Genomic DNA, 16,776 nt, shown 5'->3' with positions numbered 1-16,776 from the left:
TTGTTAGGGGACAAGATGGAAATACTGCTGTCAGGTCCTCTCCTCTCTCTTTTCCATGCTACCCTCCAGGCTCTCTCACAAATTACAGGATCACAAAGGAGAGGATTCGGAAGGCAGCAAAGACCCTGCAGGGACACATTCCTGCCACTTTGCTGGTGCCACCCAGCTCCCCCTTTACGTTCTTAGCACAGCGACCCAGTCTCAAGAAGCTGCTGACTCTGTTTTGAAACAATTCTGATTGTCAAGGATTTTTTTTTCCCTTACACTGATCTTAAAAAGTCTGTTTCCCTGCAACCTTGTCTCATTCAGCTCTGCCCTCCTCAACTTCTTGTGAATCCCTTTAAGTTCTTCTCTTCTCCAGGGTTCCCCCTTCCTCTCACTACTCTTCATCCTGACAGATCTTCCTGGCTCATCACCCTGCTGGGCACTCTCCTAGGGAGAAACTGAGATTTGTCATCGTTCTCTTACAGTGGGTGCCACCACCTAAGCCAGCACTTCTGAGGTGCTCTCGCTATCTCGGGATGCAGGAGGACCCCCACTTCCCTCAATTCAGGCACTCGAATTCCACCTGCTGCAGTAACCATGGTGGCAGCCCTGCCACTCTTTCAGCCTTCATTCTGGCCAATGCTAGGACAAACTAGCTCTGTAAATTGGAAAATTCCAATACCTAACATGTCCTTTAATTTGGTTCATCAGTTGAAATCTTTTGAAATTCTGTCATTTGACCTCTTTGTTGTGCTTGCCCTGTGGGGCCACACAGAGAGTCTTGAAGCATGCAGGGCTGCTGGCAGAGACTTGCAACCTGGGGACAGCTCACACCACATAATGGTTGGCAGCAGAGAAGGTGGCATCAGGGGTTTCCCTGGGGTAAAGGGTGGTTCTCAGGATCTGGAATCCGAGGCAGTGCTGGAACAAGGCAGATGGGACATTGGGTTCTGGCTTCATACAGAGCACATTGGACAAACTTCAGCAAACACCTTCCCTCAAGCTTCAGGAAATATTATCCCATCCATCCAGAATTTCCAGCTCTCCCACAGCTTCATAGCCTGAGGCATCTTAAAGGAGCTTGTAAGATCCACAGAACCGATTCTCCTTTCTGACTTTGAAACAGTCATAACCACGACTTTGACCTACACCTCCTATCTTCATTCAAGACCTTCATAGAAACTTGAATAGGAGTGGGTCAAAAAGAAGGGTCCTGTGCCCTTTCCTCCTCATGCCATGCGAGCAACACTAGTAAACACTGTGCATGACTGTCCATCCCAGGTCAGGGAAACCTTCTTGTATGGCCGGTGTTTCTCCAGCATATTCATTACCAACCAAACTTTGAAAGGCTCCATCAAATAGCTTCCTGAAATCAAGAAACCTGAGATCTTTAACATTCCTTTTAATTTCAGTAACTTTATTACAGGTTCAATAATGTACTCTTTTGACCCTTTCTGGAAATTAAACATAATTTTCTTTCAGCACTCTCAGGTAAGATTCATTTAGGCCTGCAGATGGGCTTAAAGGAGTTAAGTATTGGCTTATTGCTTTGACCACTTTGGGATTTTTTCTTTTGCTTTCAATATTGTTTATTCCTTACATTATTTTTAATTGAACATAATAATTATACATCTTTATAGGGTATAGAGTGGTATTTTGATAGATACAATGTGTAATGATAAATCACGGTAATTAACACATCCATCACCTCAAAGAGTTTTCAATTCTTTACGTTGGGAACATTCAAAATCTTCTATTCTAGCTATTTGAAAATATACAAAAATTTTTAACTGTAGTCACCCAACAGTGCTATAGAACACTAGAACATATTCCTCTGATCTGGCTATAATTTTGTAACCTTGAACCAACCTCTCCATCTCCTCCCCTCCTACCCTTCTCAGTTTCTAATAACTACAATTGTACTCTCTACTTCTATGAGATCAACTGTTTTTCAGCTTCTGTATGTGAATGAGATCATATGGTATTTGTCTTTCTGTGCCTGGGTTACTTCACTTAACGTAATGTCCTCCAGGCTCATCCATGTTGCCATGAATGACAGAGTTTTATTTTTAAATGGCTGAATAGTATTCCATTGTATAAATATACCACACTTTCTTTATCCATTCATCTGTCGATGGACACTTAGGTTGATTCAATATCTTAGCGATTGTGAATAGTGCTGTGATAAACATGGGGTGCAGGTATTCCTCTGATATGCTGGTTTCCTTTCCTTTGGATAAATGCCTAGTAATGGGGCTGGGCATGGTAGCTCTTATCTGTAATCCTAGCACTTTGGGAGGCCAAAGTGGGCAGATGACTTGAGATCAGGGGTTCAAGACCAGCCTGGCTAACATGGCGAAACCCCATCTCAACTAAAAAGATTAGCTGGGTGTGGTGGCACACACCTGTAATCCCAGCTACTGGGGAGGTTGAGGCAGGAGAATCACTTGAACCCAGGAGATGGAGGTTGCAGTGAGCCAAGATCATGCCATTGCACTCTAGACTAGGCAACAGAGCAAGACTCCTTCTCAAAAAAAAAAAAAAAAAAAAAAAACCAAAAAAACAAAAAATATAAAACAAAACAATACAGAAACCTAGTAGTAGGATTGCTGGGTTGTATGGTAGTTCTATTTTAGTTTTTTGGAGGAACCGCCATACTATTCTCCATAGTGGCTGTACTAACTTACGTTCCTACCAACACAGTATAAGTGGGTTTTTTTTGCATCCTTGTCAGCATTTGTTATTTTTTGTCTTTTTGATCATAGCCGTTCTAACTGGGGTGAGATAATATCTCACTGTGGTTTTTATTTGCATTTCCCTGATGATGGTGATGTTGAACATTTTTTTCATATACCTCTTGGCCATTTGTATGTTTACTTTTGAGAAATGTCTGTTTAGATCATTTGCCCAGTTTTTAGTCACAACCCTGTTTATTGTTTTCTTTCCAGTTAGACCATTGTCTTTGATAGGAAAGATATATGCGAAGTTGCTTTTACTTCATCTGCCTTCTCAACATCAACTACCATAGCCACTCAACCCCTTGAAGCAGGAAGTACTTCTGTGCCTCCTTGCCCTTACTGCTGGATATCTTCTATTTGTTCCTCCAGAAACACTACCTTTCTGTACGCTGCTCTGAGCCCTGAGAGAGATCTTGGACGGAATGGACCAATGGGTCTCTCTTTGCCTTCTGGCTGGGTTCAGCCAAGGGGAGGCAGCACCAGGAGGTCGTGGAGCAGACAGTGGGTCAGCTCCCTTCCTGCCCGATCCCACGGATTGGCTGGGCTCCACCATTGAGAGCCACCACTTCTGCTATGGGTTCCTTCCCCCCAGATTACTCCCATCAGGTTCCAACTTGCTCCATCTTTTGTCACTTTCCCTGTATCCTACTCACACCTTTTAAAATCTTCTTTTTATTAAAATATCCTCAAATATCTTTAGTGAGCCATCTGTTTCCTCTGAGATCACATCATCTTTCTTGTCACTCCAAATCAAACAGTCTTTTTGCTGTGGTGGCGGCTGACCTCAGGATGTTTGGCAAGACTCCAATCTTTTCTGAGTGTTAGCCTATCTGAATGTTATTCTTTCAGGTTTGGATGCTTTATGTTTCTTTCTCCTTATCTTCCTTGCTTTATTTTAAGCATCTTTTTAAAATTTCAGCTCTTCAGTAAGAGCTGTGTAGTTTTCTAATTTAATTGCACGTTTCCTTTTTTTTTTTTTCTCAGTAGAAACATTTGGAAATCCCAAACTTGCTAGAGAAACTCAACTTTGAAAGGGACCTGGGGTCACATGAGAGTTGCCCAGTCCAGCTCTTCTCATTCTTTGCCCTTTCCCTCGGGCAACATCTCACACATATAAAATCATGTTTGACTTTTGGCTCTGTATTTCTATTAACAAAATGGCTGTGATGCCCTCACAAATGACGGAGTGTGTCACAACAGTGAGGCTTGTGAACCACTCACCCAGCTAACTGACAAAGATTCTCCTCTCTGCTTTGAAGCTTTTCAGGAAAACAAGCCAGGCCTGGAAAAGCTTAAAAGAGGCTCAGTCAAAATTATTCCTTAAGAATTGATCCAACATGAAGCACGCAAAAAGAATTTAGTTAACATATTTGTCCGCCCCTACTCCAGGAAACACATTATGGCTTGATTTTACATCAGGGATTTGTGCTCATAAAAGTATTTTAAGGAGGTAGACTTGGGGTAAAGATAAGATAGAAAAGACTGAACATAAGATTTATCTAACTTAGCAATGCCTAAAAAAAAATGAAGAATTATAGCATCAAAATAGTGAAACCAGTCAAAATTTTTATCAGCAGCCACCAACCAAGGAAATGGACATAACCTAATGTCACACACTTCCAAAACCAGCAGCCAAGGAAATTCTGCAGAGAAGCAGTGGAGAAAGGCTTGGCCTGGCCTGGCCCTGCCACCTGGCTCCTCCTCACTCCTCCTGCTTGGGAACCTTTCCCTGTGAATCTGGAAAAGACCGAGCTTCTCCTTCTAACCAGGGAAACCTGGATAGGGCTGCTAGGGAGGATCAGAGATAAGAAGGTAGGTGGAGGATGGGCTGTCAGCGACGGAAGTGAATTTATAGTATCATCCCATTTTTATAAAAGTGAGTCTGGCTATCTCTCTAGTCTGCCAGACTTCTACTTATGTATATGCATAGAAAGAATTCAAATATAGAAACAATACTGAACAATTATGAGGCTTATGGTTACTGAACAGAATCAGCGCAATGTCAAAATAGTGATTTATTTTTTCTTTCTATTAAAATGCAAGCCCCATTATGTGTGAGAATCTTGTCTGTTCCATCGATAGCTTATAGCTCTAGGCTCAGCACCTTGAAGGTGCCTTACACAAAGTATTCTCTAAATAAACACTGGTTGAATGAATGAATGATAATGATCTATAAAAATCAGGAGGTGGGTGATAGAGAAATGAAGGAAGCATTAAAATCATCTTCTTTCATTGCTCGAAGTTCACTGATACTATATAAAAGTGAACCATTAATTAATAAAAGTATTACAATTCCAATAGCTTTCATAATCTCTTTTGATAAGGCATCTGTAAAAAATCAGTATGTTGAAAATTCTTTTCTTTAAGAATGTTGAATATTGGCCCCCACTCTCTTCTGGCTTAGAGAGTTTCTGCCAAGAGATCAGCTGTTAGTCTGATGGGCTTCCCTTTGTGGGTAACCCGACCTTTCTCTCTGGCTGCCTTAACATTTTTTCCTTCATTTCAACTTCGGTGAATCAGACAATGATGTGTCTTGGAGTTGCTCTTCTTGAGGAGTATCTTTGTGGCATTCTCTGTATTGCCTGAATTTGAATGTTGGCCTGCCTTGCTAGATTGGGGAAGTTCTCTTGGATAATATCCTGCAGAGTGTTTTCCAACTTGGTTCCATTCTCCCAGTCACTTTCAGGTACATCAATTAGATGTAGATTTGGGCTTTACACATAGTCCCATATTTCTTGGAGGCTTTGTTTGTTTCTTTTTATTCTTTTTTCTCTAAACTTCTCTTCATGCTTCATTTCATTCATTTCAAACTAAGCTTCATAAGTGAAGGAGAAATAAAATACTTTACAGACAAGCAAATGCTGAGAGATTTTGTCACCACCAGGCCTGCCCTAAAAGAGCTCCTGAAGGAAGCACTAAACATGGAAAGGAACAACTGGTACCAGCCACTGCAAAAACATGCCAAATTGTAAAGACCATTGATGCTAGGAAGAAACTGCATCAACTAACGAGCAAAATAACCAGCTAACATCATAAGGACAGGATCAAATTCACACATAACAATACTAACCTTAAATGTAAATGGGCCAAATGCTCTAATTAAAAGACACAGACTGGCAAATTGGATAGAGTCAAGACCCAGCAGTGTGCTGTATTCAGGAAACCCATCTCACGTGCAGAGACACACATAGGCTCAAAATAAAGGGATGGAGGAAGATCTACCAAGCAAATGGAAAACAAAAAAAGGCAGGGGTTGCAATCCTAGTCTCAGATAAAACAGACTTTAAATCAACAAAGATCAAAAGAGACAAAGAAGGCCATTACATAATGGTAAAGGGGATCAATACAACAAGAAGAACTAACTATCCTAAATATATATGCACCCAATACAGGAGCACCCAGATTCATAAAGCAAGCCCTTAGTGACCTACAAAGAGACTTGGGAGACTTTAACACCCCACTGTCAACATTAGACAGATCAACGAGACAGAAAGTTAACAAGGATATCCAGGAATTGAACTCAGGTCTGCACCAAGCGGACCTAATAGACATCTACAGAACTCTCCACCCCAAATCAACAGAATATACATTCTTTTCAGCACCACACCACACCTATTCCAAAATTGACCACATAGTTGGAAGTAAAGCACTCCTCAGCAAATGTAAAAGAATAGAAATTATAACAAACTGTCTCTCACACCACAGTGCAATCAAACTAGAACTCAGGATTAAGAAATTCACTCAAAACCGCTCAACTACATGGAAACTGAACAACCTGCTGCTGAATGGCTACTGGGTACATAACGAAATGAAGGGAGAAATAAAGATGTTTTTTGAAACCAACAAGAACAAAAACACAACATACCAGAATCTCTGGGACACATTCAAAGCAGTGTGTAGAGGGAAATTTATAGCACTAAATGCCCACAAGAGAAAGCATGAAAGGTCTAAAATTGACACCCTAACATCACAATTAAAAGAACTAGAGAAGCAAGAGCAAACACATTCAAAAGCTAGCAGAAGGCAAGAAATGACTAAGATCAGAACAGAACTGAAGGAAATAGAGACACAAAAAACTCTTCAAAAAATCAATGAATCCAGGAGCTGGTTTTTTGAAAAGATCAACAAAATTGATAGACCACTAGCAAGACTAATAAAGAAGAAAAGAGAGAAGAATCAAATAGATGTAATAAAAAATGATAAAGGGGATATCACCACTGATCCCACAGAAATACAAACTACCATCAGAGAATACTATAAACACCTCTATGCAAATAAACTAGAAAATCAAGAAGAAATGGATAAATTCCTCAACACATACACTCTCCCAAGACTAAACCAGGAAGAAGTTGAATCTCTGAATAGACCAATAACAGGCTCTCAAATTGAGGCAATAATTAATAGCTTACCAACCAAAAAAAGTCCAGGACCAGATGGATTCACAGCCGAATTCTACCAGAGGTACAAGGAGGAGCTGGTACCATTCCTTCTGAAACTATTCCAATCAATAGAAAAAGAGGGAATCCTCCCTAACTCATTTTATGAGGCCAGCGTCATCCTGATACCAAAGCCTGGCAGAGACACCACATAAAAAGAGAATATTAGACCAATATCCTTGATGAACACCGATGCAAAAATTCTCGGTAAAATACTGGCAAACCGAATCCAGCAGCACATCAAAAAGCTTATCCACCATAATCAAGTGGGCTTCATCCCTGGGATGCAAGGCTGGTTCAACATACGAAAATCAATAAACGTAATCCAGCATATAAACAGAACCAAAGACAAAAACCACATGATTATCTCAAAAGATGTAGAAAAGGCCTTTGACAAAATTCAACAACGCTTCATGCTAAAAAACTCTCAATAAATTAGGTATTGATGGGATGTATCTCAAAATAATAAGAGCTATGTATGACAAACCCACAGCCAATATCATACTGAATGGACAAAAACTGGAAGCATTCCCTTTGGAAACGGGCACAAGACAGGGATGCCCTCTCTCACCACTCCTATTCAACATAGTGTTGGAAGTTCTGGCCAGGGCAATCAGGCAGGAGAAGGAAATAAAGGGTATTCAATTAGGAAAAGAGGAAGTCAAATTGTCCCTGTTTGCAGATGACATGATTGTATATCTAGAAAACCCCATCGTCTCAGCCCAAAATCTCCTTAAGCTGATAAGCAACTTCAGCAAAGTCTCAGGATACAAAATCAATGTGCAAAAATCACAAGCATTCTTATACACCAATAACAGACAAACAGAGAGCCAAATCATGAGTGAACTCCCATTCACAATTGCTTCAAAGAGAATAAAATACCTAGGAATCCAACTTACAAGGGATGTGAAGGACCTCTCCAAGGAGAACTACAAACCACTACTAAATGAAATAAAAGAGGATACAAATGGAAGAACATTCCATGCTCAAGGCTAGGAAGAATCGATATCGTGAAAATGGCCAAGGTAATTTATGCCCAAGGTAATTTATAGATTCAATGCCATCCCCATCAAGCTACCAATGACTTTCTTCACAGAATTGGAAAAAACTACTTTAAGGTTCATATGGAACCAAAAAAAGAGCCCGCATTGCCAAGTCAATCCTAAGCCAAAAGAACAAAGCTGGAGGCATCATGCTACCTGACTTCTAACTATACTACAAGGCCACAGTAACCAAAACAGCATGGTACTGGTACCAAAACAGAGATATAGACCAATGGAAAAGGACAGAGCTCTTAGAAATAATGCCGCACATCTACAACTATCTGATCTTTGACAAACCTGACAAAAAGAAGAAATGGGGAAAGGATTCCCTATTTAATAAATGGTGTTGGGAAAACTGGCTAGACATATGTAGAAAGCTGAAACTGGATCCCTTCCTTACACCTTATACAAAAATTAATTCAAGATGGATTAAAGACTTACATGTTAGACCTAAAACCATAAAAACCCTACAAGAAAACCTAGGCAATACCATTCAGGACATAGGCGTGGGCAAGGACTTCATGTCTAAAACACCAAAAGCAATGGCAACAAAAGCCAAAATTGACAAATGGGATCTAATCAGACTAAAGAGCTTCTGCACAGCAAAAGAAACCACCATCAGAGTGAACAGGCAACCTACAGAATGGAAGAAAATTTTTGCAACCTACTCATCTGACAAAGGGCTAGGGCTAATATCCAGAATCTACAATGAACTCCAACAAATTTACAGGAAAAAAACAAACAACCCCATCAAAAAGTGGGTGAAGGATATGAACAGACACTTCTCAAAAGAAGACATTTATGCAGCCAAAAAACACATGGGAAAAATGCTCATCATCACTGGCCATCAGAGAAATGCAAATCAAAACCACAATGAGATACCATCCATCTCACACCAGTTAGAATGAAAATCATTAAAAAGTCAGGAAACAACAGGTGCTGGAGAGGATGTGGAGAAATAGGAATGCTTTTACACTGTTGGTGGGACTGTAAACTAGTTCAACCATTGTGGAAGTTGGTGTGGCGATTCCTCAGGGATCTAGAACTGGAAATATCATTTGACCCAGCCATCCCATTACTGGGTATATACCCAAAGGATTATAAATCATGCTGCCATAAAGACACATGCTCACGTATGTTTATTGCGGCACTATTCACAATAGCAAAGACTTGGAACCAAGCCAAATGTCCAACAATGATAGACTGGATTAAGAAAATGTGGCACATATACACCATGGAATACTATGCAGCCATAAAAAAGGATGAGTTCATGTCCTTTGTAGGGACATGGATGAAGCTGGAAACCATCATTCTCAGCAAACTATCGCAAGGGAAAAAAACCAAACACCACATGTTCTCACTCATAGGTGGGAATTGAACAATGAGAACACATGGACACAGGACGGGGAACATCACACACCGGGGCCTGTTGTGGGGTGGGGGGAAGGGGAGGGATAGCATTAGGAGATATACCTAATGTTAAATGACGAGTTAATGGGTGCAGCACACCAACATGGCACATGTATACATATGTAACAAACCTGCATGTTGTGCACATGTACCCTAAAACTTAAAGTATAATAAAAAAAATAATTATGTTGGATAGTAAAAAAAATTATATGAGGGTCAGAATTCCTCTCGTGTTACTTTAGTTTCATTTACTTCTGTATATAAGTACAGTGGATCTGAATATGTATTTTTTAAATTAAAAATGGCATTAGAGTATGATTCCATTTTTATAGTGTGTCTATCTAGCCAGCCAACTTCTCTAAGGATGTATCCATATATATGTATATACACACACATATATATGCCTACATAATCTTTGAAAGAGTATGAAATGAAGTCCACTTAATGCTCAACATCGTTATTTCTGGAAGGTGAGATTTAGAAAATGATTTTACTCTTTTCTTTTTACTTTTCTGCAACTCTTGAGTCCTTTAAAATGAGTACTCGTGGTCTTCACAGAAACATACTGCCATTTTTCTTTAAATTTATTTTAATAAAGGTGATAATGAAAGTAGATGCCAGAATATCATGTTACTACCACAGATTGAAATGTCTAATAATTTGATTTTGTTTCTTTTAAAATAAATAATTATTGTTGCAGGAAGTCAGGGACCCCAAACGGAGGGACCGGTTGAAGCCATGGCAGAACATAAATTGTGAAGATTTCATGGACGCTAATTAGTTCCCCAAATTAATACTTTTATAATTTCTTATGCCTGTCTTTACTGCAATCTCTGAACATAAACTGTGAAGATTTCATGGACACTTATCACTTCCCCAATCAATATTCTTGTGATTTCTTACGCCTGTCTTTACTTTAATCTCTTAATCCTGTCATCTTCGTAAGCTGAGGATGTATGTCACCTCAGGACCCTGTAATGATTGCGTTAACTGCACAAATTGTTTAAACAATAGGAAATCTGGGCACCTTGAAAAAAGAACAGGATAACAGCAATGTTCAAGGAACAAGGGAGATAACCATTAGGTCTGGTAGCCTGAGAGCCAGGCGGAACAGAGCCATCTTTCTCTTCTTTCAAGAGCAAATAGGAGAAATATTGCTGAAGTCTTTTTCTCAGCAAGGAACATCCCTGAGAAAGAGAGTGCATTCTTAGTGGGAGGTCTCTAAAATGGCCGCTCTAGGAATGTCTGTCTTTTACGGTTGATAAGATGTTATCAATGACAAAGCGTGCCTGAAACTTCATTAGCAATTTTAATTTCGCCCCGGGCCTGTGATCTCGCCCCACCTCCATTTGCCTTGTCATATTTTATTACCTTGTGAAGCATGTGATCTCTGTGACCCACACCATATTTGTACACTCCCTCCCCTTTTGAAAATCACTAGTAAAAACCTGCTGGTTTTGTGGCTTAGGGGGCATCACAGAACCTGCCGACATGTGATGTCTCCCCCGGACACCCAGCTTTAAAAATTTATCTCTTTGTACTCTTTCCCTTTGTTTCTCAGACCGGCCGACGCTTACGGAAAATAGAAAAGGACTCATGTTGAATTATCAGGGGTGGGTTCCCCTGATAAATGATAGCTCTGAGGACAGACTGTAGGTTGAATAAGACTTTGCTTATTTACAAAGGTTTTCTTAGCTTACACATGCTCCCTCTCTCACTCTTTCTAAAGCATACTGTCACAGAGGCTCCTGGCTCAAGTCTATCTTGGACTGATAATGTCAGCATACGCCAGAAGACAACTCCATTTTTAAGACACCTAATTATTGGCGATTAAAGCTTTCCTGTAATTTGTAGGATCATTCCAAAATGCATTCCACTGAACAATGCATTCTGAGACTCGTCTATTTTCCTTCTCTGTCTCACACTATGGGCAAGGTAAACTGAAAGAATCAGACTTCCAGGAGGTGTTAAGGCTGTAGGCGAATGACCAGGCATCAGTCTCACTACCTATATTCTACAAATAGCATGCATTTCAAAGTCATCCCATTCTTGGAACACAGTAGAGTATGCAGTTTTAATGTGTGTTTCTCACTCTTCTCAATAGCAGATATGGCAGGGCATATAGTGGAAGGTGATAAGTTTAAGAGTTGGGAGACTTGGGTTCTACTGTTTGTATTTACTACTGGCCAACACACCTAACTTCTCTATGACTTAGCTTCATTATCTGAAAAAAGGATTAGACTAGATCCCTGGTTCTAGACTCTGGTTGTACCTTGGAATCACCTGGGATGCGTTACTAACTGGTGATGCCTTGGGTGCACCCTAAAAATCTCTGGGCAGCTTGGACATCAGAAAGGCTATAAAGCTTTGCATGTGATTCAGTCAAGGTTACAGTCAAGGTTAAGGACCATTGAGCTGCTTGATCACCAAAATACCTTTATTCTAAATTCCACCTTACATCACAGAATATTTCGCTGCTGGCTCAGTCCTGGTTCCCCAACACTCTGAGAAAAGTGCGGACAAAAATGTGTCAGATCTTCATGCATAGGGGTGGCTTGGAAATCCTCAGGTAGGACTAGGCAGAAAAACATCCCTTCTATCTAAGCAGATAAGCCACAGATGAAATGGTATCTGACCCTTTGTTTCATTAACATGCCATACAGGGTTCAACATAATCTTCAGAAGCCTGTCACTTTTTATTTGATTTGGCCATTAAGAGAGTCTCTTTTACCTCCACTTGCTCTAATTGTAATGGTGAAGGTTTGCGCTGCTGCCAAATGGCCTTGTAATGTTATTAGCTGCTGCTTCTCAATCTCTGCCTGCTGGAAATCTCAGTTTTTCCCGGTACAACTTGTGTGTGGGGTGGAGAGGCTGCATCCCCAGAAAGTGCACACTTGACCCTGGAGACCAGGGTGAGGATTGGCAGGAAGAAGTGTGGAAGGCTTTGCAACCATTCTCCACATTGTAGACTGGGTGGCTTGCAAAGTGTCAGCTTGGAGAGGCTCCCCCTCCCCCAGATCTCCTTTCCTGAATGTTTCTTGTTAGAGTGGGCCACAAGAGATGCTTACATGTGAGATTCAGAGGAGGCAGGGAAGCGGCAGCCATTCTGTAGCTCACACCTGTTTTATCTGTGGCTCATGTTGCTGGGTGGGGCAGTAGCCAAGTCACAACTGCTCTACCTTCCCTGAATTTTCCTTCAGCTTCTGTGACTCTTGGGCCAGGTGCGTGTGTATGTCTGTGATGATGGGAGCCGGCATATCCTGTAGGACAACTATAGCACCCAGAGAGGCAGCGATAACTGACCTGAGTTCCGGTGGGTCTTCATGGGTTCTGTGTGTGCCTGTGGGTCCCAGCCCATCCCTGCTCTCCCGACTTCATATCCATCTTCCTCTGCTGACCACCTGCCTCTTGGACTTCAAGCTCCAACATCTCATGGTCAGATGTAAAGACAACAGCCTCACAGAGGCTGCTTAACCAGCAAACATAATTGCATAAGGTCAAATCCTTGTGACAAATATATATATATATATTTGTGTATGTATGTGTATATATATATTTGTCAAAGTCTCCTCTGGAGAGGCTGAGGCACAAGAATCACTTGAACCTAGGAGACAGAGGCTACAGTGAGCCGAGATTGCACCACTGTACTCCAGTCTGGGTGACAGAGACCCTGTCTCAAAAAGTAAAACATAAAAATAAATAAAAGATGTTAAACGTCAATAATAGACTGGATAAAGAAAATGTGGCACATATACACCATGGAATACTATGCAGCCATAAAAAAGGATGAGTTCATTCCCTTTGCAGGGACATGGATGAAGCTGGAAACTAACATTCTCAGCAAACTATCACAAGGACAGAAAACGAAACACCGCATGTTCTCACTCATAAGTGGGAGTTGAACAATGAGAACAGAAGGACACAGAGAGGGGAACATCACACACCAGGGCCTGTCAGGGGGTGGAGGCCTAGGGGAGAGATAGTATTAAGAGAAATAACTAATGTAAATGACGAGTTGATGGGTGCAGCAAACCAACATGGCACATATAAACCTATGTAACAAACCTGCACGTTGTGCATGTGTACCCTAGAACTTAAAGTGTGTGTGTATATACATATATGTAACAGATGTTAAATGGATAAAGGAGATGGAGGAAAAGTGGCGGAAATGGCCCAGGGGTGAGAAGTAAAGGAATTTAAGGCTTGGAGCTTAGCCAGGCTGGTGATCTATCCGGATCTGTCACTGCGGGGAAAGCCCACCCCAATGGCACACAGGTACCTTGCCTCTCTCAAATGAGAGGTGAGAAATTACTAACTCACATACGATGATGGATGCTTGTCATGAACTAGACAGACTTCCCTTTTCCACGGCCAGTTTTTGCTAATGATTTTTTTCAGTCGTGACAGCCGAAATTCTTAACTATTGAAGCAATCACAATATGGTGTTGAATTTTTTTCTTGAAGTTTGAATTTCTTTAAAGTAGAAGGAGAATTTGGAAATGAAGCATTCCCTTCAGAATAAATTAGTGTCTGTAGAAGAGAAAAACAATTAACACATTCATGCATTATGGCTTAGTTTTCACCTTTCTTTCCAAGGGCAATTTATCTAAGAAAAGCTGTTTGTCCTGATTTCGGTGATTTATTCATATGCTTGCATTTGCCTAAGTATATTTGAGTTTCACAGTCTCTGCTTCCAGCCCAGGACAACACCCTTGTAAGCTCTGGTCACAACCCTGGAGCATGAAGTCTGAGTGGAAGGTTCTAGACTGGTGCTTACCTGTGGCTCCAAAAGGAAGAAGCCAGAAACTTACGAGAGTCAGGTCACTACATCTCAGTCCTGGAATAAAAGCCAGAAAACCTGGCTTTAGCTTCTGATTTCACCACTATTTAGCCATGAGTCCTTGCAGGGCTCACCTAACCAATCTCTCTGAGCCTCCATTTCTTTGCTTGTAAAACGAGTGTTGAACCAGAAGCTCACAAAGGATCATTAAATTCTGCAGTATTATGATTCTAAGGTTTACCCTTTCTGGCAGCAATCATGGTAAGTGGTTTTTTCCCCTCTAAACATTTTACCTCTAAACATTTCCCACATAAATATTTTAATCTGAGGATAACATTTGTGTGTGTGTGTGTGAAAGTATCCCAAAATTTTCATTTCACATGAGAATTAAAATTTACAATTAAAACTTTTCATAACTGTCTCAATGTTCTCTTTCTTCTTCCCACTAAATCTTTTTGTCCCATCTATAATGAGGACTTTTTCAGACACTACACTAGCTGATGTGAAAAGCTTTGCTTTCCACCAAGAACTATGGCTCCCGGCCGGGTGCAGTGGCTCATGCCTGTAATCCCAGCACTTTGGGAGGCCGAGGTGGGCAGATCACCTGAGGTCAGGAGTTCAAGACCAGCCTGGCCAACATGGCAAAACCCCGTCTCTACTAAAAATACAAAAATTAACTGGGCGTGGTGGCATGCATCTGTAATCCCAGCTACTCAGGAGGCTGAGACAGGAAAATCGCTTCAACCCGGGAAGCGGAGGTTGCAGTGAGCTGAGATCGCACCACTGCACTCCATCCTGGGTGACAGAGCGAGACTCTGTCTCAGTTAAAAAAAAAAAAAAAAAAAAAGAACTATAGCTCTTTATACTTTTCTGTTTTATTTGGTATTCATTTATTTTAAAGAACCGTTTATTTTTTAAGGATTTTTCCCACTTTCCTACACTTTACTGTTCCCACCATCTGTTTTGAGTCTTTAATGATACAAGTTGGACTTTTGTTGTTAATTTAAGAATATGCAATTGAATCAGAAGAATTTATGAAAACTAATTCAATAGACTCATTAATGAACATAACTCCAAGATTTTTATACACATGGGATAGACTTCAACTTTATTAATTTACACAAAGCATTCAAACTCGAAAATAAGCTAGCCACAGTTTTTTGTTGTGGATTCCCCTTCTCATTTGAAAAACAATTTTTGTGTGTGTGTCTAAATGACTAGAAAACAAATAGCCAACCACAATTATTGGGGGATCTTAGGAGGTAAACAATGGTACTGCTTAGGATGCTACCACTCATGACGATTAGTTTCCAAATATTCCCTGGACTCTGTTTCAGGCCCTGGGGATCGGGTAACGGAACATGGGAAACAGAACCTTGCTCTTTGATGCTGGCGGGGCCTCTGTAAGGTTTCCCTAGTGTCACTGGGGAATAATGTATTTTGATAAATTAACTCAGATAATTTTCCTCCACCACGCTTCTCACCCAGTGTGTGTCCTGGCCTACCCCCAAGGGAGCAGCCGGGTGAGGACAAACAGACCAAGAGTGAGTCCTGGCATTTGACTCTCAGAAGGTCATTTATTATCTTAGGGCATACTGGGCAAAGCAGTCTCCTGAGGAGTAGATGCTAAGTAAAGAAGGAAAGAAAGCTGGGGTGGGGGTTGGGCAGACACCCCTGAGGGGTTGGTATGGGACCACACAGTTGATGGAACATCCGGGACAGGGACAATTAGCACCGCTCCACTTCTCAAGGGAAATACAGGAAGCTGGCAAAGTCATACACCTCCCTGCACCCCAGCTCCACAATCTGTATTCCCAGCATGATGCAGGAGCAGAAATATGGGTCCAGCACATGGACCCGAGACAACCCAGGAGAATTTCTCTCTTGCAGCTAAGAGAGGCAAATGGAGTACTTTATGTGCTCCCCAAAATAAAACACCAATGAGGCATGTGACATCACAGTAACAATACTACTACTACTACTAATAATGGGAATCACTTACAGTATACAGCTTTTACTATGGGGCAGACACGCTTTCAAATGTTTTCACATACTAACTCATTTAATCCTCCCAACAGCCACATGAAGTAGATACTATTATGAATAGCTCTAATTTATAGATGAGGTAATCAAAGCACAAAGAAGTAAAGTAAAGTGAAGTGGCCAAGGTACAGAGCCCATAGTGAGTAGAGCTGGGATTCAAACCCAGAGAGTGCGGCTTCAGAGTCAAACTTAAGAAGCCTGAGGGTCAGGACAGAGGGTGCAGCAATAACACATGTGAGTGGCCAGGTAGGGAATGAGGCTGTCTAAGGGAGACCATCCTGGAGAAATGACCATGTACTCTGGCCAGGTCCAGAAGAGCTGCCTGCCTTCCCTGCCTGAGA

General features: G+C 41.1%; 1 protein-coding gene and 1 long non-coding RNA gene across 53 annotated transcripts in view; one reads left to right on the top strand and one right to left on the bottom strand.

Annotated features, from left to right (window-relative positions):
- Positions 1 to 16,776, bottom strand: part of RGS6 (regulator of G protein signaling 6) — a 762,695-nt gene that overhangs the window by 224,700 nt on the left and 521,219 nt on the right. The gene's annotated exons all lie outside the window — the stretch shown is intronic.
- The window catches only part of LOC105370559 (uncharacterized), a 36,836-nt gene that overhangs the window by 13,882 nt on the left and 6,178 nt on the right, over positions 1 to 16,776 (top strand). The window lies entirely within an intron of this gene.

Source organism: Homo sapiens, chromosome 14 (assembly GCF_000001405.40).
Source record: "Homo sapiens chromosome 14, GRCh38.p14 Primary Assembly".
In the NCBI taxonomy this organism is placed as follows: Eukaryota; Metazoa; Chordata; class Mammalia; order Primates; family Hominidae; genus Homo; species Homo sapiens.
Note: the sequence above shows the minus strand (reverse complement) of the source record. Positions and strands in the feature narration are given on the sequence as shown.